Source organism: Homo sapiens, chromosome 4, assembly GCF_000001405.40.
Source record: "Homo sapiens chromosome 4, GRCh38.p14 Primary Assembly".
NCBI classification, from domain to species: Eukaryota; Metazoa; Chordata; class Mammalia; order Primates; family Hominidae; genus Homo; species Homo sapiens.
The window spans coordinates 156,579,069-156,606,232 of NC_000004.12; the positions used below are offsets into that span (position 1 = coordinate 156,579,069).

General features: G+C 37.1%; 3 annotated features.

Annotated features, from left to right (window-relative positions):
• Nucleotides 19,147-20,346: an enhancer, noted in NCBI's record as "BRD4-independent group 4 enhancer chr4:157519367-157520566 (GRCh37/hg19 assembly coordinates)". NCBI's record gives its function as "activates an origin of replication core promoter dependent on BRD2, P300/CBP, MED14 and CDK7 cofactors, and independent of BRD4, by STARR-seq in HCT116 cells {active_cell/tissue: HCT116}" and the evidence as "EXISTENCE:reporter gene assay evidence [ECO:0000049][PMID:35650434]".
• Nucleotides 20,991-21,726: an enhancer, noted in NCBI's record as "NANOG-H3K27ac hESC enhancer chr4:157521211-157521946 (GRCh37/hg19 assembly coordinates)". NCBI's record gives its function as "activates a minimal SCP1, AML or CMV promoter by ChIP-STARR-seq in primed H9 embryonic stem cells {active_cell/tissue: H9 hESC(primed)}" and the evidence as "EXISTENCE:reporter gene assay evidence [ECO:0000049][PMID:30033119]".
• Nucleotides 26,371-26,896: an enhancer, noted in NCBI's record as "OCT4-NANOG-H3K27ac hESC enhancer chr4:157526591-157527116 (GRCh37/hg19 assembly coordinates)". NCBI's record gives its function as "activates a minimal SCP1, AML or CMV promoter by ChIP-STARR-seq in naive H9 embryonic stem cells {active_cell/tissue: H9 hESC(naive)}" and the evidence as "EXISTENCE:reporter gene assay evidence [ECO:0000049][PMID:30033119]".

A 27,164-nucleotide genomic window follows, 5' to 3' on the forward strand; every position in this document is an offset into this window, starting at 1 on the left:
TGCAAATGAATTTTATTACTAAAGATTTTCTCTGTAAAGTTCAACTGTGCCAGGGAAAGGCAACGTTTTTACTTTAATTTTTATTTTATTGTATTTTTAAATGTTGGGCATATGCTATCACTGAGATAATTTAGAAATCTCAAACTAAAGGAGAACTGACAAAAATAGAATCTCCTCTATCAGGAAAAAATATGTAAATATATCTGAATAATTAGTTTTTAAATTGTAATATACACAGTTGTAGCTGCACTGGACATGCTCTATCAAACAAGTCCTGCTAATATTTCATTTTTATCAATGACTCATCTATGGATGATTAGTAAGATAATGCTGCCTTACACAAAATTTTGCACCACAACTTGCAAATATAATAACAACAACAATAATAATATCTAACACTTCAGACTCTACCTCCTCTTGTATGTTACTTGGATATTAAAAGGCTACATAAGAAGACAAATCTTTCTCAAGTTTTCTAGAGTTTCAAGAAGAAGGATTTAAAGACAAAATAACTTTAGGCAAGATAACTAGCTGATAACTTAATCAGATAACTCCTGTTCTGAAAGGCATATAATAAGTGGGTAAGTCTCCAATATTCTGTGTGTCCACATTGGCTCGTACTCCAAGTTCTGCCTAGATCAATGGCCTTTAAACTCTACTTGTGTCAGTTTCACCTGGGAAGTTTGTTTGAAATTCAGCTTCTTTTACAATGTTCTAAAAATTTCTATGTCAATAAAATTAAAGTTGCACCCAGAAATCTGCATTTAAATCACATCTGGTGATTCTGTTACAGTTGGTTCAGAAAGAACACTTTGAAAAGCCTGTGTTTTGACGTCTACTCAGAAGTATTGGAATCAATGAAGAGTGGGACACTGAATCTGGATCCTCTCTAAGGAATCGTTTTCCAGAATACATCAAATGTTACCTGCTTTGTAAACCTCTCCAATTCTCTCAATTCCCTCTGTCATCATTTAAGCACTGACCATCAGACCTTCCTGTACCTAGACAGCAGCTTTCTATTGGATTCTCTGCCTCAGGCACTGCTCTCCTCCATTCAAACCTTCACAATCATTATCTCTAACGTGAAGACCATGCAGTCTCAGGAACCCAAGATGATTCATGACACTTCCAAAAAAAACAGAATTTTTTATGTATAATTATTCTTATCTGAAAAAAAAGAAATAAAGCCTTACTACTATTTAACATCTGGAATTAATATAGGTAATTGTAATCAATCCCCAAGTCACTTATTTGAATTTTACATAAGTTACTAAAGATATCCTGAGGCAAGACTGGGAATTCAACAACAGGCAGTTAACAACGCCAGCCACACTTGTCCATTTCATTTAGCATGCTGCATTTTACCACAATTGACCTATGCCTGGTTAAATGGACTTGCAATTTATGTCACTAAATTTTAGTCTTCAAAAAATTGAAAATTAGATTTTAAAATATCCCTACAATAAAAGTTTGAATTGACATCATTACTATACTATAAGTGAACAGTAGGAAAATATTAGAACCAAAAATTCTAAATCTGGCTTTTTCTTTGCTGTGTTACCAGATAATCACAACAATGGTCTAATCACATTTGACAAGAAATCATCAAAAATTTTGAAATTATGTTATTATTATTAACAATGAACCTTAGCGTAAATGCATGCAGTGTCTTGAGATATTGGCCAACAAAATGCAGCTATATAGATTATAAATAAATAAATATATTAAAACTAATTGGAGTTAGGTACTTAAAATTTCTTCCTGACAAAAATGAATTATCGACATGTTTCATCATTCATTCCACTGTTTGGTCTACGCTGCAATGAGAGTGACCTTGTAAAACACAAACGGATCATTTCGTGTTAAACTCTTCAGTGGTTTTCTGATATCTTTAAGACAGTTTTACAAGTTTTTCTATTCCAGCACCTCATCTTGGGTTGCCCTCCAGACATACTGGACTTCAGCTCTGTGAGACTTCCTGGGCTCTCTCTACTCTGGGTTTCCACACACTGTCTCTTCTCTGCCTGTAACATTCTTTCAGTAACTCCTTTCCCTCTTTGCCTGGCTGCTTTCCTCTCAATGGATCCCTTCAGATTATTACATTTAAAAATTACTTTGGTGGACCTTTCCAACACATTTAGACCAAGTTCGCCACCACCACCTCCCCGCATCTGTCTTTTTAGAATATTCTGTGCTTTCAGTCTTAAAAAAAAATCACACTTTACTATAATTTACTAGTTCAATGTTTTATGTTCCCCAGTAGTCAGTATAAACTGAGGTCATGAGCTAGGACTCTTGCTCATTCCTGTATTGCCGCCACTGTCTAGCATACTGCCTAATTTTTTTGTTTAATTTTTAAAAGAAGAAGACAGTTTTAGAATGGCATTTAGGAAAATACAGGCAAAAGCAAATATCATATGTCTTCAATTATCTCCCTAAAAACTTAGGTCATGAGGAAGTGGAACAGAAGTGCCTATGGTTTAAATGGGGCCAATAATCTGGGGTACTCAGTAGAGTAACTCATAAGAGTAAGTCAGTAGTTCACTTATGGCTGGCAGAAAGTATATAAAGGTCTAATGCTTTGGGGAAACTTTGAGAATTTTAGGTTGTGCACAATTATTTTTTTCTTTAAATGGCTCTTATAAAACAAATTGCAAGACAAACACAATCACACTGAATTCCCAATAGAAAATGAAAGTGCTTCGGCAAAGGTAATAGGTTGTTGTCATTTTGCCAATAAATATATTGACATTCTGACTTTCATTCGACCTTTCAAACATGCTATATAAAAAGCTACATGTTTGAGGATGAGCCAAATGCTTTTAAAAGAAGGAAATAGTGCCAACAATAAAGTCTCTGTGACTGAGCACTTGCAGAAGGAATTAAAGGGAGACAAGCAAGGACATTCCCTTAAGCAAGGCACCTAAAGAAGTTTCTCTGTTTCCACAACCAACCATGATGCTTAAAAAATTCAACTAAAATGTTTTAATCCTTGTAGTAAGGTTTGTACTGGTGTATTATCATTAAGAAATAAGAAATACTGAAAAAAAGAAAACAGATATTGTTGACTATTACCTTTCCTTCATAGTAAAATAATCTACTCAACAGAACGGGTGTTAGTAAAGAGAAAACACAAATTGTATAGTGAAGAAGCTTTAAAAAAATTAGGCTACCTTGTCCAGACATTTTCTTTCACTTACACCTATTAATCACTGTCTACAGGTACTGATGACTTTTTTAAAAATCATTTTTAATTTATTTGTTATTTATATACAATAGTTGTACACATTTTGGGGGTACATGTAATATTTTGATACCTGTATATAAGTATAATGATTAATTCAGAGTAATTGGGATATCTGTAATTAAATATGTTACATTCATCATCTGGGTATTTCTTATTGACAGTGTTTGCATTTGACATTCATTTTGTGTGAATTATTACCTAGGCATGTGATGTAGTAAAATTCTACTTATATAGATATTTTAATGTAACAGCTATAATGGCAGATATATTAAAAAAATGATTTATATAGTAATCATGTAAATGTTCAATCATGAATATAACGAGTCATGATTTCTTTGCAATTTTGTTTTATAATATGCCTTTATTAACTTTGATGTATTTGAGGCATAGATCCTAAAAGGTTGCTGTGACAAATTAAGTTTATGCTAAAGATTTAGTACTTAGTCTTTGTTTTTTCTCTTTTCTTCTTTTTTTTAACAAAATTGCTGCTTGGAATAATGTGTTTTATTTTGAGAATGACGCTGTTTAATTTTGTACCCTAAGAAATGTTTGAGTAAATTAACTGTTCTGTTCATGAATTATCTGTGGCCTCTACCATCACTTCTCATAAAAGAATGTCAAATAGAAATCAAGCTATGTAACCCCACTGGTGATCACTGTGATACAAGAGGTGGCAGTACTAAAACAAAAAATACTTGTATATTTCTCATTCTGTCATTTTATTCTTCAACTTTTCATCATGAACACTGAAAACCTCAGTGAGAGATTTATATTAGTCGAGCCTTAATCCCAAATAGCTATATAGTACTTTAGATTTACAAGGCATTTTGTCTCAGCATCTTTAAACACTTTAAATCTTACTGATATAATTTAAATATCTTTAGTTGACACTGGTAAGACAATTAAGAGATGTAGAATAAGTATAACTATGTGTCATATCTAAGAGATAGCATTCATAAAAACAGAGAAGAACTTGCATGAGTGAAGACATGCAGAAAGGAGCTGATGTTTTGATTTTCACTTTGAAAAGGAGAAAGTGCACTAAAGGATATTCTTACTGCTAATGGTCAATTCTTTCTACAACTGTGATTTATTTTACTGGAAGCTGGAACAGGTGTGGTCTATCTTTGCCAAAGTCTTCCAGAAATTCATACCTGCCCCAGGTTTCAGGTTTCAGATGTGTTTGGTGAGATTGTTGAATAGCATGCAACCCAAGAACTTCTATCTTATTACACAGACAGAATACCGACTTACTGTGAAAACTTTTATCTGCAAATCCAGTTTTGCACTTCGAATATGGAAAAACTGAACTTACATAATTTGAAGGATGTTGGTAAGTTTGTCTTAAGAAAAATGTCTTCTTTGAAAAAGTTTTAACAAAAAGGAAGTTGAAGTTTATGCATATACATAAACTGAATTCACTTTCTTTAATTTCTCAAAATAAATGTCAGTGCTGGCCAAAAAACAAACACGGTACTTTTCATAACTTGCAATAGTTATTATAAAAGTTAACGGTAGGAAAATCAGGAGGTCCAAAGGAAAGTGTTATTTTGCTGCTTGGACTACAACATTTCTGCCATAAACTCTATGAAAAATAAATGTAAGTAGGGCAAAGGGAAAAAATGAAGAGTTTCCATACTCCAATCAAATATAGGGCTTTCACCTTAGGTCAAATACCATTTACTGAAAATAGCTGACTTTATAAAAGAAGGCTTATAATTGCCTTATTTCCCTTGAAAAATATACAGCATTTTGCCAAGCAGGTACATTTGTGTTGCCATTAGTGTGGCCAGTTCATTTGGTGGTGCTGTTGAATGTCATGTGCACCACTTAGGAGTGATCACGTTTTTAAGATGGCAGAAAAGTAATTGCAACAGATCGGTTTGCTGACCCTGACTGCTATAAATGGCTACATAAAATGAGAATAGGTAGATCAACACAGCTCAAGTTCTGAAGTGAAATTTTATCTCATTTCTGGCACCGCAAATACTAACCTGATTCTTATCTGTCTAAGAAAAAACATTCCTCCGTAACAGGCTGGCAATAACTCTTTACGATTTCCACATACCTCTTAAAAATTATGAAAGACCCATTGTATTAAAACCTGGGATAAACAGGATATTTAAAGCCTGTTAGTGTGATCAAGTTCATCTGTAAATTTCACTTTGTTTTAGAGATCTCTGAAGAAAAAAAAAATTATTCAATACTCTTTACATTTTTCAAATTTCCCACTCCCCTTGGGAAGACAAAACCATGAAATAAGAAAAAGAAAATGAAGAGAATATTATTAAAGCACACACAGTCTATTGTTGTAAATTAATGAGTCCTAGACCAGGAGTCTTGAGATTTTGTTTTCAGTCCTTTTTGTGCCACAAGTGAACCATGTGTCCTTGGCTATTTGTCCTTGGGGAAGATACATGGCTTCTCTTGTGCTTCCATTGACCAAATGACCTCTGAGTCCCATTTTAGTCCTAAACCCCCTTGGAAATATGTTTAAAATTTTCTTTGATTTTTAGTTATCTTAATTTTAGAAATCCTAAATATTTATATGTCTACATTCATTCTAATTTCAGAAGAAAAATAGGCACTGTATATAGTAGATATATTGTGATCTTTGAGTTATAACACTCTGCCATTCGATGATAATCCCTGAACCAGTTACTTATCTTCTCAAAGCATGTTCCTCAGTTGAAAAATAGCTACGATATTCCATTGCCTCTATATTGAGGCAATATTTATAGAATTTCAAGAGATAAACTAAGAACCTATTTTATAATTTACATAAGGAGTAATAATAATAAAACAGACACTTTTGAACCAACCATCAACTTCAGAAATTGAACATTTCCAAAGCCTGTAAATTTTTTTGGGCCCTTCAATAATTACAGATCTTTTCCCCCTGTAAAATGGTAACCATGACTATGAATTTTTTTGTTGATAAGTTTTTGCATTTTGTTATTTTCTTGCTAAATATATGTACCTATAAACTATATATAAATATATATATATATATATATATTTTTTTTTTTTTTTTTTTTTTTTGAGGCCTCGCTCTGTTGGCCAGGCTGGAGTGCAGTGGCACAATCTCGGTTCACTGCAAGCTCCACCTCCCGGGTTCATGCCATTCTCCTGCCTCAGCCTCCCGAGTAGCTGGGACTACAGGTGCCCGTCACCATGCCTGGCTAATTTTTTGTATTTTTAGTAGACACATGGTTTCACCATGTTAGCCAGGATAGTCTCGATCTCCTGACATTGTGATCTGCCTGCCTTGGACTCCCAAAGTGTTGGTATTACAGGTGTTAGCCACTGCACCCGGCCTAAACAATATATTTTTAAAAGTTTTGGATATATGGGGAATTTATATATTATTAATTTATATATTATATTATATTATTATATTATAATACTGGTATTATACCAAATATATCCCTCTGCAGCTTGTTTTAATCACCCTACATTGTCTTTGAGATTTACTTTTGCTGATGTAACACTATAATAATAGTAGTAATAATAATAATAATAATAATTCTATCTCTTGTGTATAGATATTCAAGTTTTGCTCAGTTTGGGGCCTTTATAAACTGTGTTAAAGAATTTTGTATATGCTTCCAGGTCCACACCTATAAGAGTTTCTCTATGGATATACCTAGGAGTGGAACTGCTGGGCCATTGAGAATGCTCATTTTTGGCTTTGCAAGATACAAGTTAGTTTTTCAAAGTAGGCACATAAGAAAACATTCCCAACAGACTCTGGTGGAAAAAAAATATATATATACACATATATTTGCTTAAAAAATGAATTATTTGTATTCAAAAGGAGAAGAAACTTTCTTCTGGCATTTTTGGAGGTAATCCTTGATTAATTTTTAAAATTTCTTTTATGACATTACTTAATTATACGTTTTGTTTGTTTTTACTTCTTGAGAAAATTTTAGGTGTATATAGTGACAAGGAAAACCATCAATTTTATCTAATTAGAACTCTTTAGAATAGAGATGAAATCAAATTCTTTTGTACTAATCTAATAATCCTGATTATTTGTAATAAAGCTGTGCTTACAGCACAATGAATCATGTATAAGTGGCAAGTAATGATGGGCGGGAGAAGGCAGAGGATTCACTCCTCTCTTCTCACTCCATACTCTATAAGCAGGCAATCTAGAGTTTTTAACTCCAACCACGGCCCTTATAGATGAGTTCATATACTGCCTAGTAGACATCCGCACATGGAGGACATGAAGGCATCTGAAGATCAAAATAAACGAAAGTGCCTTTACCATCTTTCCTCCAATTTTAGGCCTTCTTTGTCCCCTCTCTCTCCCAGCTTACTAAACCTAAAACCTGGGAGCCACCCTTGACTTCTCCTTCCATATTGTAAAGCCAATCAATTGCAAAATCCTCTTGATTTTGTCTAAATGCAGCCCACTTTCTCCATCTCCACTGACATGACATTAATGATCTCCAACACTTGCCAGGCACTGTGGAAGTAAGTGCTTTATATAGATTATTTTTCTGAATACTTATACCAACATCATCAGGGGGTTATAATGGCTGTCCCGAGGATGTATATTGGAGGATATATATTGGAAAACAGGGTGAGGAAAGATAAACAATCACACAACTAACAGATAACAGGGCTGATTATGAAATCTCACTCCAAATGTTTTAACTACCTTGTGACAAAATACCTCAAACTCTTACCTTGTTACTAGTTCCTTGCTCTACTTCTGTCTCCCTCCAAATTTTTCTCTGGCCTTGAACCAGAAGATTTTTTAAAGTGTAAAATCTTATCTTTTTAATTCTTTAATTATTTTAATTCTCTTTAATTCTTATCTTTAATTCTTGGACACAGGGGTGTCCCATCTTTTGGCTTCCCTGGGCTGCGTTGGAAGAAGAATTGTCTTGGGCCGCACATGAAATATACTAACACTGATAATAGCTAATGAGCTTTTTAAAAACCACAAAAAAATCTCATAAAGTTTTAAGAGAATTTACAAATTTGTGTTGGGCCACATTCAAAGCCATCCTGTGCCACATTGGCCTATGGGCTACAGGTTGGACAAGCTTGGCTTAAAACCTTTCAATAGCTTCTCATTTGTCTTATTCTCATTTTCTTATTCTGTTTTCTTTTCTAATTCATTTTTCTTATTCTATTCTAAAAATCATTAGCAGAGTCTAAAAGTTGCCACCTATTTCTCTTCTCACTCTGAGTAGATATGCCCCTTTCTGTCACAGATTCTTTGCTTTTCCCCTTTAAATAAAACCTCCTTCCCTAAATAAGAGCAACTAATTATAAATCTTTTTTTTAATTCTTCAAATTTCACTAAAAAATCAGTTCTCCAAGAAAGCCTTTCTAACTCAATAGTCTAGGTCTTCTAATAACATTGACTGTTATGACAGCAAATAGATTTTGCCAGGTTATTAAGATAAGATAGAAGCAAGGAAAAATGACTGAATATTTACAACTCTATTGTCTGGGAGAATTAACTCAAGACCCAGATAATGAAAAACTAGTAAACATTTGTTGAGAGGATACTATGTGTCAGCCATGGTACTGCTTTACATATTTTTGTTATACTTCCTCTTAGAATTATGTATGGGTCCTATATAGCACTTATAAAAATTATCATAAACTAATTAACAGTGAGATTTATTAATATTTGTCTTCATTTTTATACCTTAACTCATTAAGGGCTAAGATAGCTTCAGTTCCTTTTCCAGTACATTTTCAAGAATAATGTGTCAAACTAAAATTTGGTTGCTAAGATATAACTGCCAAGTTAAGACATTACTTATGTGCTCAGGGCAACCAATTTAAATACAGTTTTCTAAATCTTACATGTTATTATCTCAATGAGGTTGAAATATTTATCTTGAACCTTTAAAATTCAAAGTTAATAAGTAGAATATTTAATGCAGAAAGTACAGAATACAAGACCTGAAACTATAAAACTCTTAAAAGAAAATACAGGAAAAAGCTCCTTGACATTGACCTTGGCAATGATTTTTTGGCTATGAAACAAAGCATAAGTAATAAAGGCAAAAATAGACAAGTAGGATTAAATCAAGCTAAAAAGCTTATGCACACCACAGGAAACAGTCAACAAAATCCTAACCTATGATACGGAAGATATTTGCAAACCTTGTATCTGATAACAGGCTAATATCTGAAATATATATAAAAATATCCCTACAACTCAGCGCCAAAAAAAAAAAAAAAAAAAAACACCCTGAATCACCCAATTTTAAAAATGGGCAAAGGATCTGAAGAGACATTTTTCAAGAGACAATAAATTGGACAACAGCTGTAGGAAAATATATTCATTATCACTGATCATAATAGAAATAGAAATTAAAACCACAATGAGATATTAATTCATGCCTGTTAAGATGGCTATTATAAAAAAAGATAAGTGTTAGTGATGGGATAGAGGAAAGCGAACCTTAGGACACTGATAGTGGGAAATTAAATTGGTACAAATATTACGGAACACAGAATTTGGATGCCTCAAAAATTTAAAACTGGAACTACCATATTATCCAGGAATATCACTTCTAGGTATACACCCAAAAGAAATGGGAGAGCTGCATTCCCATGTTTATTATAGCATTATTCACAATGGCCAGGATATGAAAGAAGCCAGTTTCCATAACAAATGAATAGTGTTATTGTTTATATATGGCTTGTTTGTTTTTCTCCACCAAATCTCATGGTGAAATGTGATCCCCAGTGCCATTGTGTTGGGGGCGAGACCTAATAGGAGGTATTTGGATCATGGGGGCAGATTCCTCATGAATATATTAACGACTTCTTTTGAGGATGAAGGAGTTCTTGTTCTATTAGTTCCCATGACAGCTGGTTATTTTTTTAAAAGCCTGGCATCTACCCATCTCTCTCTTGCTTCCTCTCACACCAGGTGATCTCTGCACACGCTGGCTCCATTTTGCCTTCCATCATGAGTAGAAGCAGCCCAAGGCCTTCACCACATTTCCTATCTTGAACCTTCCAGCAAGAAGAATCATGAACCAAATAAACTGCTTTTCTTTATAAACTATTCAGCTTCATGTATTCCTTTACAGCAACACTAAATGGACTAAGACAAATTGATAAAGAAAATGTGATATCTATACATCTCTCTGTCTATAAAGATAAGATACCAATTACAATGGAACATTGTTCAGCCATAAAAAGAAGAAAATTCTGGAATTTCAGATGTCATGGATGAATCTGGAGGAAATTATGCAAAGAAAAATAAGCTAGACACAGAAAGACAAATACTATATAATCTCACTTATACGTGGAATCTGAAAAGTTGAACTCGGAAGCAGAGACTGAATGGTAGTTGCCAGGGGCTGGGAGCAGGGAGAAGAGAATTGAAAGAAGGAAACGGGAGATATTGGTCAAAGAGACAAACATTCAGTTATAAGGTGAATAAGTTCTGGAGATCTAATATATATAGCATGGTAACGATCATTAATTATACCATATTGTATACTTGAAATTTGCTGAAAGTAAATCTTAAGGGTTCTCAACAAATACATACAAAAAAAAGATCACCTTACATTACTATGAAAGATGATGGATGTGTTAACTAGCTTGATTTTGGTAATCATTTCACACTGTATATGTATATCAAGTCATGTTATACACCTTAAATATATACCGTTTTGTATGTGGATTACCTCAATAAAGCTGTGGGGTGAGGAAAGATTTGAAAAATATAATATTATAAGCCCTAAAACTTTGAGTAAAGCTTTGAGATTCAAGATTTTCAAGGTCTGAAAAATAATGAATTCCTTTCATTAACATGTAAATTTTAGAATCAGCCTGTTGATTTTCACACACACACACACGCACACACACATACACATTGGAATTGTTTTGAAGCCATAGATCAATTTGAGAAGAACTGACAGATTTAAATATTGTGTTTTCCAGGCCATGAACATGTTATATAGCTCCATTTATTTGTGTCTTCCTTAGTTTTTTTTTTTCAGTAATTGTTCATACTTTTCTATATAGAAGTCATGCACAATTTTTGTAGTTATGTCCTTAGCTGTTCAGCATTTTTTATGGTCTTATAATGCTATTTTTCAATAATTTCTCTTTGTTCATGGCATACACACACACACACACACACACACATAAAATTGATTCTTATGTGTTTACAGTACATCCACTGACCTTTGCTTGATTCATTTATTTAGTCTAATAGGTTATATGTAGATGACTTTGGATTTTCTATGCATATAATCATGTCATCTGCAATAACAATAGTTTTATTTCTCCTTTTGAATAATTTTACTTGAGGCAAACTGGTTTAAGATTGTCATAACTTCCTTTGGAATTGATCATTTTGACTTTATGAAGTGGCACCCTTTATGTCCATTAATACTTCTTACATTAAACTCTAATGAGTCTGGCATTAGCATAGCTATAGCATCTATCTTTTTAAACATTCTTATGGTATATATTTCCATCTTTTTACTCTCAATTTTAGGTATATAATTGGAATATATGTATATATGTGGGTAGCATATAGTTGGGCTTTATTTTTAAAATCCAGTTTGACAAAATTTATCTTGGAGTTTTATTTCATTTGTAGGTAATATAAATACTGATATACTTGTAGTTGCCTTTAATTTTGACATGTAGCATATCTCAAATAAAGAATTCTGAACATAGAACAATAGTACAAAATACATTTCTAAGTATTTAGAGGCATAACTCTTCTACTAGAAAAGACTAAACCCAGAGTAAGAGAGAGAGAGAGAGAGAGATCTTCCACAGATATGCAAGTATGAAGAGGAGGTTATATATAAAGAGAGCCAGCCATAAACACTGTTTTCCAAGTAGGCTCAGGAAGGCACCTTTTGACTGCATATTACAAATTCATAAAGAATACTTGAGCTGGGCTCAAATGGAAAGACAAATTTCAATATCACCTAGATCTCACAAAAGCAGAGCATTCCATGTCTTGTTTCAAGGTTGAGAAGTTGCTGCTATTAGTTTGCGTTCTCCCCTTCCCCAGTTGGATGAAAGTTGTAAATGTTAGGGAGAGGTAAATTATAGTTTTGATGCATGATCACCCACACTGACAAATCAAAATGGTACCTTGCTATTTCCCTAGTCTAGTATGTAAAAATATACTACATCGAAGGAATATTTAGTATTAGTAAGAAAAATAAATATGAGAAATACAGATCCAAGCCCAAGAGAAATTTTAGTGAGATCAATTCCTCACATAATCTAATACCTAGAACCCTTACGTGAGAGGCTGTATAGTATAGAGGTCTAGAGTTTACTACATGTCCAAGATTAGGCTATGGAAACCAACTCTTAGGTATGCTACTTACCAAATCTATGAGTTAAAGACAAATCCTAAAATTTTTGTTGACTCAGTTTCCTCATCTGTGAAATGAGAAACAATAACAGAAACTACTATGTAAGGTAATGTGGAGATTAAATTGCATCTAAAGCAATTGGAAAACTGCCCAGCAGATATAGCAAGTGTTCAAAATGGTTATTATTGTCGTCATCATCATCATCATCATCATCATCATCATCACTGTGATCACCTAAGTATCCGTCCATCTTTCATAAGTTTCAGATATATAAACAGCAGTGCTTCTAAGTTTCAAATTACACCTCATTGTTGATGCTCTCTCAACAACAGTACAAAAGATAGTCATCGTACCACCATCAATGCATGGAAGGAACCATAAGCACAATATTATATATTCAGTCAGCCTTTACTATTGACAATCAGCTTGAACAATCAGCTTTTCTATTCCTAAGACAGGATAGCTATAGAGAAAAGAGACTTAAATATGAAAGCTGTCCACATCTATTTCAAGGACAAAAAAGACACTCTTTCAGCTCTCTACTCATATTGCAGCAATGCACAGGAATTGGACACAAAAAATCGGCAAAGAGTCTTTTATATTTTGTCGTATATTCTCAGGACATGGATTTAAGCTGTAATTCAAATTTATTTCTCATACTGCACATATGCTTATATTTGTTATAAAATTGAAAATGACAGAAGATTGTGGGTTATACTTCAAAGATAAATTTTTAAAAAATACAATGCATTATAATTTTTATAGTCAGTATTCTGTGTAATAGATCCCTAAAGATTTTTCCTCCTCTCTTCTGGAAACTGTACCTTTTGATCAACATCTCTCCTATCTCCATCACCTTCCCCTCCCCAAGTCTCTCGTAAGACCTCTACCCTCTACTTCCAGGAGTTCAACTTTTTTTTCAATTCTACATATAAATGGGGTCATACTGTATTTGTCTTTGTGTGCCAGCTTTTTTCACTTAGCATAATGTCCTCCAGGTTCATCCATGCTGTTGTAAATGACATGATTTCCCCCTTTTACAAGGCTGAGTAATACTTCATTAGGTATGTATACCAAACTTTACTCATTCATCTGATGATGGAGAGGTTGCTTCCATGTCTTGGCTATTGTGAATAATGCTGCAATAAACATGGGAGTGCAAATATCTCCTCAGCATACTGATTTCAATTCCCTTGGTCATATACCCAGAAAGGGGATTACTGGAACATATGATAGTTCTATTTTCTAAGGAACCTCCATAACGGTTTTCATCATAACTATATTAATTTACTTTCCTACCAATAATGTACAAAGGTTTCCTTTTCTCCACCTCCTCGCCAACACTTAACATCTCTTGTTTTTTGGTAATACCCATTCTAACAGGTGTGTGATAATATTTCATTATGGTTTTCATTTGCATTTTCCTGATGACCAGCGATGAAAAGCATAGTGTCTTGTATCTGATGACCATTTGTATATCCTCTTTTGAAATGTATCTATTTAGTTTCTTTGCACATTTTTTGATTGGGTTTTGTTTCCTTGCTATTCAGTTGTTTGAATTCCTGATATATTTTTGATATTAGCCCTTATCAGACGTATGCTTTGCAAATATTTTCTCCCAATCCATGGGTTGTCTATTCAGAGGTCAATATTTTTATTTCTAATTATATGGAGTTTATAAATTATCTAGACGCAAAATTATATATTTGTTTTACTTGTTTGGCATTTACTGTGTTATTTTTATTTTTCTCATTTTTGCAATAAATATTTACAGTCCTTATACCTTGTTTTGGAGCTAGGAGGAAAACTTTATTAAGTCATCCAAGACAGAATTAGAGTGACCATCAATATGAAGACTCCTTCCCACAGGATAGGCAGAAACTCAAACTTACAAAAGATACAGAAAAAAAAATCTATCCTTTACAACAATCCAAATTATTTTAAACTCATTTTTAACTTAACTTTCCACAAACAATATATTTTCCATATTTTCTAAAGGTCTATTGGGGGAGCCAGAGTCTGTGTAATATGCTCAGTCCATCATCTTGAAACAATTCCAAAAAAACATATCTTCATTTTCTAAACTCCTAATTTATCTACTTTTCATATGGCATTTGCCACTCTCTACCTTGTGCTTCAATTATCTGAGCCATTGTCCTCTCTCCCCTACTAGCTCCTATAGTGACAAGTAGACATGGCCATAGAGATGCAAGGTGAGCAGTTGTGTTTATTAAACCTTCATTACGTTCAAGAAACATCACATATATTATGTAGCTTAAGTGTTTTATAAAACATTAAATTAGTATTAATGTTGTTTTGTTACACAGATGAGAAAACTGAAGCCCAGAGAAATTATAGTACATTACTTTGTGTTTCTCTGATTTCAATGCTCTAAATCTTTCCACGAGGCAGAGACTGGATTTATTTTTGAATCCTCCACAGAGCTGAGCATAAATCTTCATCCATAGAAATTCTCAATAAATGAAAGAAGGTAAACATCTTGATGATACTCTTACTTTATACATCAAATAACACTTGTCACCTGTGTTCTCTGGAAAGTTGGAAACTTATTTTTATAAATGGCTATGCTGTGATCACACACACACAAAAAACATTTTTTTTTAAAAAAAAATGTATCTAGAGTGCAGGATGAATAAGGTTAAAGCACATTAGCAATGCTTGAATACTTGAAAGAGTCAGAACTTTAAATATTTCCTTTTAATTATGTATTTAACCTATATATATATAAATGTAAACAAATAAAGAAATAATCTTTATCCTTACCGACTATAACTCACTTATAATCTAAAATACAGTGGAATTGATTTGTTTTGATTGAGAAATTCAGTTAGTTAACAAAGGCTGATTTCACACCTGTTGTGTGGTCTACAGTGTAGACTCTGCTACTTGAAGACTAAGAAAAGACTTTCTAAACATGCATGTTGCTAGTAAACACTACCTTCTAACACCTTTACCAAACAGATGACTGCATGGGCCTTTAAAATATACAAATTATGTTCAAATGAATAAACACCACAGAATTAACCTATTTTAGTAAAACAGGTTTATTCTACACAAACATTTTATATCTGCTGTAATAAATCATACTTTATGCCAGCTGACATGTTGTGAGCTGCCTACGGGGAGCCCACATGGCAAGTACCAGAAGGAGGACCCTGGCCAGCAGCCAGCAAGAGACTGAGGCCCTCAGAACAACAGCCTGTGAGGAACTGAAGCCTGACAACCACCAAGAATGAGTTTGGAAGGATCCTCTCCCAGTTACGTCTTCAGATAAGACTGAAGCTCCTGCCAACACTTAAACTGCAGCACTATAAGAAACTTTGAGGCAGAAAACCCAGCGAGGTAGGTGTGCTCTGATTCTTAACTCAGAGAAATGATCTGATCAGAAATATTCATTTTTTTCAAACCAGTAAGATTTGATGTAATGTGTTGCACACCAAAACAGTCTGTACTGACTGTAATACAGTTGGTAACAGAAAATAACTGAACAGGGGCAAAAATAAATATCCTCTTTCAAACAATGATTCATAAAACTGTTTGCAAAATACATACACACCCACGAACACACATACACACACACAAACACACCACAGTAGAGTGATTAAGAGCATAAATTCTGGAGCCAAAATGCTAGGTATAAACCCCAGTCCTGCTACATACAGCTGTGTGTCCTGGTAAAGATGTTTTAACCCCTCTCTGTTTCCTCATCTACAAAATAGAAAAAGCAACAGCAACATTTTCTCTGATTTGTAGTAAGGATCAATGTGCTTAGAACATGACCGTACACTGTAATCACAATATAAATGTGAGCCATTCCCATTATTTTGGCAGCTAGTATTGTGCCTGCCATATAACTCTTGGTCAATAAACATACATGTCCCCCTACAGTCACATTTGATCAACCTAACATAATTGATTCCCTGAGAAGCAATTAGTTCTGAAGCTAAAGCATATCCCATGGTCTAAACTCAATATACCTTTGAGTAGAATTCTGAATTGAATTTTTTTATTGAAACTTCTGCTCACACCAGTTGAGAGCTTAATTTTATCATCTAGGCAATCTGAGCAGGTGGCTGATTTCTGAAGCAGCCTTTCTACAAAATCAATGAAGCAAAAGAAAGGAGTGAGAAGACTCACGAGAAAACACTCATAAGAAAATAAGATTTAGAGTTTATGTAAAGCAGCCTTCTTCCAAAACAGGATTATTGGTAGGGTGGGAACAAAAGTAGGAAAGAGTAGAATCAGGTCAATGAAATTTTTATGTGTTGTATACTGACATTTTTACCAGAAATTTTTTTTAACGCAAAGCAGGGCATGCTTTTCATTGACTTTTCCTCCATCACTCTCATTGTTTCCTCTTCTTAATGAGAAAACAACTATTGCACTGCACAAATATCAGCCTAGATGGGGATGGAGACCCATCGAAAGGTGGAAATGCTTCTTAAGCCTTAGAGAAGCATCCACAAGGACCAAGCTCAGGGTAGACTCTTATCTAAACCTTGTGGGTGTGTGAATTTCAAGCCACAAGTCTTGTGAGAACAGATTGAGGCACCGCATTCCTGGTATTCCTCTCCAGTGGGACCAGAAATACCCAGGGTGAAAGTTTCTCATGTGCTTCTTGCCAAAATACTACACTCCAAACTCCCACAGTACTCCCTTCTGCAATGAATTCTAATTTGTTTCAAAAATAAATCTAGTGCTTACATGGGGGGAAAAAAAAACTCCTCTCTGCTCAATGATATTGAGGTGCAGAATCAAAATGAGGTTCAAAAAATAATAGTCCAGAAGATAAAATCTTTGGTAATTTGAATCTTATTGTAGTAAATATCTTCTGGGTAAAGGTTTTTTTTTCTTTTTTTAAGTTTCCTATTGAATGACTTCTCCAGGAGTCTGCCACAGAGTATATAGGCAACAACTACCTCATTTCTAGGTCAGCAGAGATTCTCTGCATATACAGAGAAAGTCGGCATCCAAGTCCCAGCATCTGTCTGTCATTAGGCAGACCTGTGCTTAAAGCCACAAAGAGAGTAAATGATTTTCATCGTCAAAACCTAAAATAATCTAGAAGCAGCCTAATGAAAATCAGTCAGCTGTGCTGATTATTTTAATGTGCTTTTGGTGTAATTTTTATGGGAAATAAATGTATTAGAAGAAATCCTGAAAGTATTTTTGTAGGAAGTTGCTTATATTGTCTATTAATATGAGGATGAGGAAGAAGTGGAAAAAGGGGAACATTAGCAATTGCTCAAGAGGGTAATGCAAACTTTACAGCAATAAATTATAACCAATTTTACATTGTTTATGATTAGGAAGGCAAATAACCAAAAACAATGGACTCTTCTCTTAGAGAACAGGATAGACTTTATCGAGTGAGTTGAAATGCATTACAGAGTTCTGCTATCCAATAAAACATACTACACCAACTGGCAGGGCACAGGAAATGCTCCCAATCCAAGCTTGTCTTCAGTTAAAGGAATTTGACTTTAAGCCGCAAGCGTACATTATTTTTATAAAGGGTCTTAAAGAAATGGGATTAGTGATAAGACAGTCTGGTTTGCATCTGCATAGGATCTTCTTGTCCAGGTAAAGTGGACCATATGGAAGAATGCTCTGGAACTCCTTAGACATTGAATTTCTCAGTTAAATACAAAGAATTTATTTTAGCTAATTAATTTAACCTCTTACTTTGTTATATTTTCATAAAGCTAATTTTAAAAAATCCTAGAAACTAACCTGATGTTATTGTCACCTATTATTTTGCCCACTATAATGCATAATGGACTGGCCAGTATACTTTTAGCAGCAATAAAATGAGCTGAAAAAAAACCTATAAAATATATGGAGTGGAACATTGTTCCCTACAAGGACAAATGATGGCTATTACATTTTCCAAAAACTACTACTGTTGAATAACTCTTTGCAAAGTCGATTTTGGACCATCTCAGAAATGGTGCCTTTCCTTCTTTTCAACAGTAGGTAAGAATGATGCCTTAGGTTTCCCAGAAGGACTAGCTGGAGTAGAATGCATCCAAATAGCAAAGTTACTTGCCAAAACATTGAAAGACTTCTGCTTGCAAAATGGGACTTTGCATGCGCTGTTTACTCTCTTTCCATGTGAATGGAGTTTCCAATCCAAGAAGTCCATTTGGATGCAACAAGTCACTAAAGAATAAAATCAGCGAGGTTGGTCTAAACATGTTTGTCTATTGCATCTGATTGCAAATTATGTTTGCTTTATTTCATTGTATTCACTGTTCATATTGAGATTGCTTAAAGTCCAAATCTACAATACATTTGGAAGATTCCTAGACTTCTTTCACATTTTCCGTGTTAGCAAATGTTCCCTTTACCACACTCTTTCACACACACACCTGTAAGTGTAACTGCTCTTAAAATTGGAAAAGCTGAAAGAAAACAACTCCTTTTAGAAATGACCCAGGTCAGGAGGCTCCTGGTTTTTATTGCCACTTCAAAGCCAAACCAGATAAACTGGCTTAAGGTACTACTTTGGCATTGAACAGAATTCAATACAGCTGTCTGAGTAGCAGAAGCTTTGAGGTCATAGTAATTTTGCTTGAAAGGCTCACCCCTCCTCCATATATGGCCGAGTTGCTGTGCTTCCTGTTCTTTTGTGCCAAGAATTCCTCTCCTGTCCCCTGACCCAGCAGACTCAAGACTTCTAATTGTGCTGATAATTTCATTCCTCATCTTTTCAGAAAGTCATGTGAGAGATTTAGCTCTGGTACTTAATTTAAACTGTTTATATTTCCTTTACAGTATGCTCCAACCAGCAGCGCGGACCGCAAGTGGAGCCCGGCAATTGGAAAGTTGCAAATGCCTGGATGCTACGTTTTGCATCTTCTTTAGATATCCTTGACTCATACATCCTGTCTGGGCTAATGTTGTTTTCTGCTTGCAGTGTGTCTGGAGTCTCAACAAGTGCCCAAGCCACCCTCAAAGGGTCACTCCTTGTTTCAAGAGCACTTGTGCTTGCCTTGACCTCTCTGTCGCTCTCTGATTCCACTTAGGAAGCTGCTTAGTTCCATTTTTCAACTGAAAAATTATCCTCTGCTTCAGGCCACTCTGTCATACTGTTTTGTGTAGTGTTTTAAAGCTAATTTGAACTAGGCAATGTCTTAGCCTTAGATATAGACAGATAATTTTCCAGATCAGACAAGCTATAGTAAAGCTTCAAAGGGAAAACTTTTATTCCTAAAGAGAATAGAAAACTCATCTGTGTTATTCATATTGTATTTAAGAAATGACCCAAGTTGAAAATAAATGTGACATGTGAAACTGAATATCCACTAATATTTCTGGTAGCTTCTGCAATTATGTCTAAAGTTTTCCATTTTACTGTTGAGCTTTTATAATAAATACAGGGACCAAGAATCATCTTCTGACAATGAAGCAAGGGATCAGTTCAATTGAGACTATTAGGCAGAAGGGGGAAACTGGAAGAAATATATTAATCTTTTTCTTCTGAATGTCTACAATGTAATGCCAGATTAAAACAAAACCAAATAAAACAAAAAAAGAAGCAGATGAACTTAAGAAGAAAGGTTATAAATACCCAAATGTTTAGGTACCATTATCATTACTTGTTCTTACATTTTAAACTGGTTATTTCTACAAACTATTTGGTGCACGTTTAAACTATTATCTTGAATTTTCAAGCAAAATTCCTCATATGAACATTATGTACCAATAATTGATATTTTAATTGATCTAAGATTAAATATAAGTTAAAGATATTGATGGCTTCCAATTTTTGTCTTATTTTTAAGAAAGTTGGGTCCATATGAACAGTCTTCTCAGTAACCAAAACTTGACATAAACTAAATATTTGCAAAGTTTCTAAAATTCAAAAGCATCATTGTTTGTTTTGTCTGGATTTTTTCTCAATTTTCCATGGGCTCCAGCACTTCCTGTCTCAACTTGTGACCAGAAAAGAAACTACCAAAATGAAGCAGGAAAGGTTGTTTCTATTTTGCAGTTGAATATGCCAGCCAGGAATCAGGGGGTATTAGCAATTTCATAGATTGTCCCAACTGGAAAACACAGATGTTGTCAAATGTTACACATGTAATAACTACATCCTTTGAAGTTTGGTCATAAGCAGTATTCAAGAGAGAGAAAGAGAGAAGGAAAGAAGGAAAGAAGGGAACGAAGGAAAGAACAAAGGAAAGAAGGAAGGAAGGAAGGAAGGAAGGAAGGAAGGAAGGATATCAACATTCTAGAAGTAGAGCTGATGCACCCTGTGATAGGAGAAGTATACAGGGCAAGTTGATATGCCAAAACAGTGCGTAGGATTCCCTCACCTCATTGCCATGTGTTGAAGTTGGTTCACATAACACAGGGTTGTTCAAATGCTAGCTGATATTATATAATAAATCTATTCTTCAGCTACCAAATACAGCCTAATTTAATCATTTAATTATCTGCATTTAACTATGCAAAGATATTTCACCAACAAATAATTTTCTCTTAAAATGTCAAATATTTAAGTATTTACTGTCAGGCCTCAGAGCCCAAGCTAAGCCATCGTATCCCCTGTGACTTGCACGTATATGCCCAGATGGCCTGAAGTAACTGAAGAATCACAAAAGAAGTGAATGTGCCCTGCCCCGCCTTAACTGATGACATTCCACCACAAAAGAAGTGTAAATGGCTGGTCCCTGACTTAAGTGATGACATTACCTTCTGGAAGTCCTTTTCCTGGCTCATCCTGGCACAAAAAGCACCCCCACTGAGCACCTTGCGACCCCCACTCCTGCCCGCCAGAGAACAAACCCCCTTTGACTATAATTTCCCTTTACCTACCCAAATCCTATAAAACGGCCCCACCCTTATCTCCCTTAGCTGACTCTCTTTTCAGACTCAGCCCGCCTGCACCCAGGTGAAATAAACAGCCATGTTGCTCACACAAAGCCTGTTTGGTGGTCTCTTCACAAGGACGCGCAGGAAATTTGGTGCCGTGACTCGGATCAGGGGACCTCCCTTGGGAGATCAATCCCATCCTCCTGTTCTTTGCTCCATAAGAAAGATCCACCTACGACCTCAGGTCCTCAGACCCACCAGCCCAAGGAACATCTCACCAATTTTAAATCAGGTAAGCGGCCTCTTCTTACTCTCTTCTCCAACCTCTCTCTGTCCCTCAACCACTTTCTTCTTTCCACTCTTCAATCTCTCCCTTCTCTTAATTTCAATTCCTTTCATTTTCTGGGAGAGACAAAGGAGACACGTTTTATCTGTGGACCCAAAACTCTGGCGCCGGTCACGGACTGGGAAGGCAGCCTTCCCTTGGTGTTCAATCATTGCAGGGATGCCTCTCTGATTATTCACCCACGTTTCAAAGGTGTCAGACCACGCAGGGACGCCTGCCTTGGTCCTTCACCCTTAGCGGCAAGTCCCGCTTTTCTGGGGAAGGGGCAAGTACCCCAACCCCTTCTCTCCTTGTCTCTACCCCTTCTCTGCTTTCCTGGGGAAGGGTCAAGTACCCCTCAACCCCTTCTCTTTCACCCTTAGCGGCAAGTCCCACTTTTCTGGGGCAGGGGCAAGTACCCCTCAACCCCTTCTCTTTCACCCTTAGCGGCAAGTCCCGCTTTTCTAGGGGGCAAGAACCCCAATCCCTTATTTCCACACCCCAACCTCGTATCTCTGTGCCCCAATCCCTTATTTCCATGCCCCGACCCCTTATTTCCATGCCCTGACCCCTTATTTCTGCACCCCATCCCTTATTTCTGCACCCCAACCTCTTATCTCTGTGCCCCAACCCCTTTTCCCACTTTTCTGGAAGGTAAGAACCCCTGAACCCCTTCCCTCCGTTTCTCTACTCTCTCTTTTCTCTAGGCTTGCTTCCTTTACTATAGGCAACCTTCCACCCTCCATTCCTCCTTCTACTCCCTTGGCCTGTGTTCTCAAAAACTTAAAACCTCTTCAAGTCACACCTGACCTAAAACCTAAATGCCTTATTTTCTTCTGCAATGCCGCTTGACCCCAATACAAACTCGACAGTAGTTCCAAATAGCCAGAAAGTGGCACTTTGAATTTTTCCATCCTGCAAGATCTAAATAATTCTTGTCATAAAACAGGCAAACGGTCTGAGGTGCCTGACGTCCAGGCATTCTTTTACACATCAGTCCCTTCCTAGTCTCTGTACCCAGTGCAACTCATCCCAAATCTTCCTACTTTCCCTCCCACCTGTCCCCTCAGTCCCAACGCCAAGTGTCACTGAGTCTTTGTAATCTTCCTTTTCTACAGACCCATCTGACCTCTCCCCTCCTCGCCAGGCCGAGCTAGGTCCCAATTCTTCCTCAGCCTCCGCCCTCCACCCTATAATCTTTTTATCACCTCCCCTCCTCATACCTGGTCGGGCTTACAGTTTTGTTCTGTGACTAGCCCTCCCCCACCTGCCCAGCAATTTACTCTTAAAAAGGTGGCTGGAGCCAAAGGCATAGTCAAGGTTAATGTTCCTTTTTCTTTATCCCAAATCAGATGGCGTTTAGGCTCTTTTTCATCAAATATAAAAATCCAGCCCAGTTCATGACTCGTTTGGCAGCAACCCTGAGACACTTTACAGCCCTAGACCCTAAAAGGTCAAAAGGCCGTCTTATTCTCAAAATACATTTTATTACCCAATCTGCTCCCGACATTAAATAAAACTCCAAAAATTAAATTCCGGCGCTCAAACCCCACAAAAGGATTTAATTAACCTTGCCTTCAAGGTGTACAATAATATAAAAAAGTTGCAATTCCTTGCCTCCACTGTGAGACAAACCCCAGCCACATCTCCAGCACACAAGAACTTCCAAAGGCCTGAACCGCAGCGGCCAGGCATTCCTCCAGAACCTCCTCCCACAGGAGCTTGCTACACGTGCCGGAAATCTGGCCACTGGGCCAAGGAATGGCCGCAGCCCAGGATTCCTCCTAAGCCATGTCCCATCTGTGTGGGACCCCACTGAAAATCAGATTGTTCAACTCACCTGGCAGCCACTCCCAGAGACCCTGGAACTCTGGCCCAAGGCTCTCTGACTGACTCCTTCCCAGATCTTCTCGGCTTAGCGGCTGAAGACTGACACTGCCCGATCGCCTCAGAAGCCCCCAGACCATCACAAACGCTGAGCTTCCGGTAACTCTCACAGTGGAAGGTAAGCCCATCCCCTTCTTAATCAATACGGAGGCTACCCACTCCACGTTACCTTCTTTTCAAGGGCCTGTTTCCCTTGCCTCCATAACTGTTGTGGGTATTGACAGCCAGGCTTCTAAACCTCTTAAAACTCCCCAACTCTGGTGCCAACTTAGACAATACTCTTTTAAGCACTCCTTTCAGTTATCCCCACCTGCCCAGTTCCCTTATTAGGCTGAGACACTTTAACTAAATTATCTGCTTCCCTGACTATTCCTGGACTACAGCTACATCTCATTGCCGCCCTTCTTCCCAATCCAAAGCCTCCTTTGCGTCCTCCTCTTGTATCCCTCCACCTTAACCCACAAGTATAAGATACCTCTACTCCCTCCTTGGCAACCGATCATGCACCCCTTACCATCTCGTTAAAACCTAATCACCCTTACCCCACTCAATGCCAATATCCCATCCCGCAACACGCTTTAAAAAGATTAAAGCCTGTTATCACTCGCCTGCTACAGCATGGCCTTTTAAAGCCTATAAACTCTCCTTACAATTCCCCCATTTTACCTGTCCTAAAACCAGACAAGCCTTACAAGTTAGTTCAGGATCTGCTCCTTATCAACCAAATTGTTTTGCCTATACACCCCGTGGTGCCAAACCCATATACTCTCCTATCCTCAATACCTGCCTCTACAACCCATTATTCTGTTCTAGATCTCAAACATGCTTTCTTTACTATTCCTTTGCACCCTTAGTCCCAGCCTCTCTTCACTTTCACTTGGACTGACCCTGACACCCATCAAGCTCAGCAAATTACCTAGGCTGTACTACTGCAAAGCTTCACAGACAGCCCCCATTACTTCAATCAAGCCCAAATTTCTTCCTCATCTGTTACCTATCTCGGCATAATTCTCATAAAAACACACATGCTCTCCCTGCCAATCGTGTCCGACTGATCTCTCAAACCCCAGCACCTTCTACAAAACAACAACTCCTTTCCTTCCTAGGCATGGTTAGCGTGGTCAGAATTCTTACACGAGAGCCAGGACCACACCCTGTAGCCTTTCTGTCCAAACAACTTGATCTTACTGTTTTAGCCTAGCCCTCATGTCTGCGTGCAGCGGCTGCCACTGCCTTAATACTTTTAGAGGCCCTCAAAATCACAAACTATGCTCAACTCACTCTCTACAGTTCTCATAACTTCCAAAATCTATTTTCTTCCTCATACCTGACGCATATACTTTCTGCTTCCCGGCTCCTTCAGCTATACTCACTCTTTGTTGAGTCTCCCACAATTACCGTTTTTCCTGGCCCAGACTTCATTCCGGCCTCCCACATTGTTCCTGATACCACACCTGACCCCCATGATTGTATCTCTCTGATCCACCTGACATTCACCCCATTTCTCCAAATTTCCTTCTTTCCTGTTCCTCACCCTGATCACGCTTGATTTATTGATGGCGGTTCCACCAGGCCTAATTGCCACCCACCAGCAAAGGCAGGTTATGCTATAGTACAAGCCAGTAGCCTGCCTCTTGGAACCTCTCATTTCCTTTCCATCATGGAAATCTATCCTCAAGGAAATAACTTCTCAGTGTTCCATCTGCTATTCTACTACTCCTCAGGGATTATTCAGGCCCCCTCCCTTCCCTACACATCAAGCTCGAGGATTTGCCCCACCCAGGACTGGCAAATTAGCTTTACTCAACATGCCCTGAGTCAGATAACTAAAATACCTCTTAGTCTAGGTAGATACTTTCACTGGATAATTAGAGGCCTTTCCTACAGGGTCTGAGAAGGCCACCGCAGTCATTTCTTCCCTTCTGTCAGACATAATTCCTCAGTTTAGCCTTCCCACCTCAATACAGTCTGATAACAGACAAGCCTTTATTAGTCAAATCAGCCAAGCAGTTTTTCAGGCTCTTAGTATTCAGTGAAACATTTATATCCCTTACGGTCCTCCATCTTCAAGAAAAGTAGAATGGACTAAAGGTCTTTTAAAAACACACCTCACCAAGCTCAGCCACCAACTTAAAAAGGACTGGACAATACTTTTACCACTTTCCCTTCTCAGAATTCAGGCTTATCCTCGGAATGCTACAGGGTACAGCCCATTTGAGCTCCTGTAGAGATGCTCCTTTTTATTAGGCCCTAGTCTCATTCCAGACACCAGACCAACTTAGACTGTACCCCCAAAAAAACTTGTCATCCCTACTATCTTCCATCTAGTCATACTCCTATTTACCGTTCTCAACTACTCATACATGCCCTGCTCTTGTTTACACTGCCGGTTTACACTGTTTTTCCAAGCCATCACAGCTGATATCTCCTGGTGCTATCCCCAAACTGCCACTCTTAACTCTTGAAGTAAATAAATAATCTTTGCTGGCAGGACTATGCTGAATCTCCTTAGGCACTCTCTAATCAGATATCCTGAGTCATCCCAATTCTTAGACCTTTTATACCTGTTTTTCTCCTTCTGTTATTCCATTTAGTTTCTCAATTCATCCAAAACCGTATCCAGGCCATCACCAATCATTCTATACGACAAATGTTTCTTCTAACATCCCCACAATGTCACCCCTTACCACGAGACCTCCCTTCAGCTTAATGTCTCCCACTCTAGGTTCCCACGCCGCCCCTAATCCCGCTTAAAGCAGCCCTGAGAAACATCGCCATTCTCTCTCCATACCACCCCCCAAAAATTTTCGCCGCCCCAACACTTCAACACCATTTTGTTTTATTTTTCTTATTAATATAAGAAGGCAGGAATGTCAGGCCTCTGAGCCCAAGCCAAGCCATCGCATCCCCTGTGACTTGCACGTATATGCCCAGATGGCCTGAAGTAACTGAAGAATCACAAAAGAAGTGAATGTGCCCTGCCCCGCCTTAACTGATGACATTCCACCACAAAAGAAGTGTAAATGGCCGGTCCCTGCCTTAAGTGATGACATTACCTTGTGAAAGTCCTTTTCCTGGCTCATCCTGGCTCAAAAAGCTCCCCCACTGAGCACCTTGCGACCCCCACTCCTGCCCGCCAGAGAACAAACCCCCTTTGACTGTAATTTTCCTTTACCTACCCAAATCCTATAAAACGGCCCCACCCTTAACTCCCTTAGCTGACTCTCTTTTCAGACTCAGCCCGCCTGCACCCAGGTGAAATAAACAGCCATGTTGCTCACACAAAGCCTGTTTGGTGGTCTCTTCACAGGGACGCGCATGAAATTTACTATTTTACTTTTTTTATCTTATCATAACTTGAGAATATTCACAAGAAGCTCCTTCCAGAAAGATGAGTACATTTCCCAATAGTGCTCACTCATCTCTTCGGAGTTTGGGTTTCCCCAACTGGTCTAAATGGTGAAAACATGTGGCAAAACAGAAACACTGTAGGATGACACTTTAGAGACCAAGTTGTATC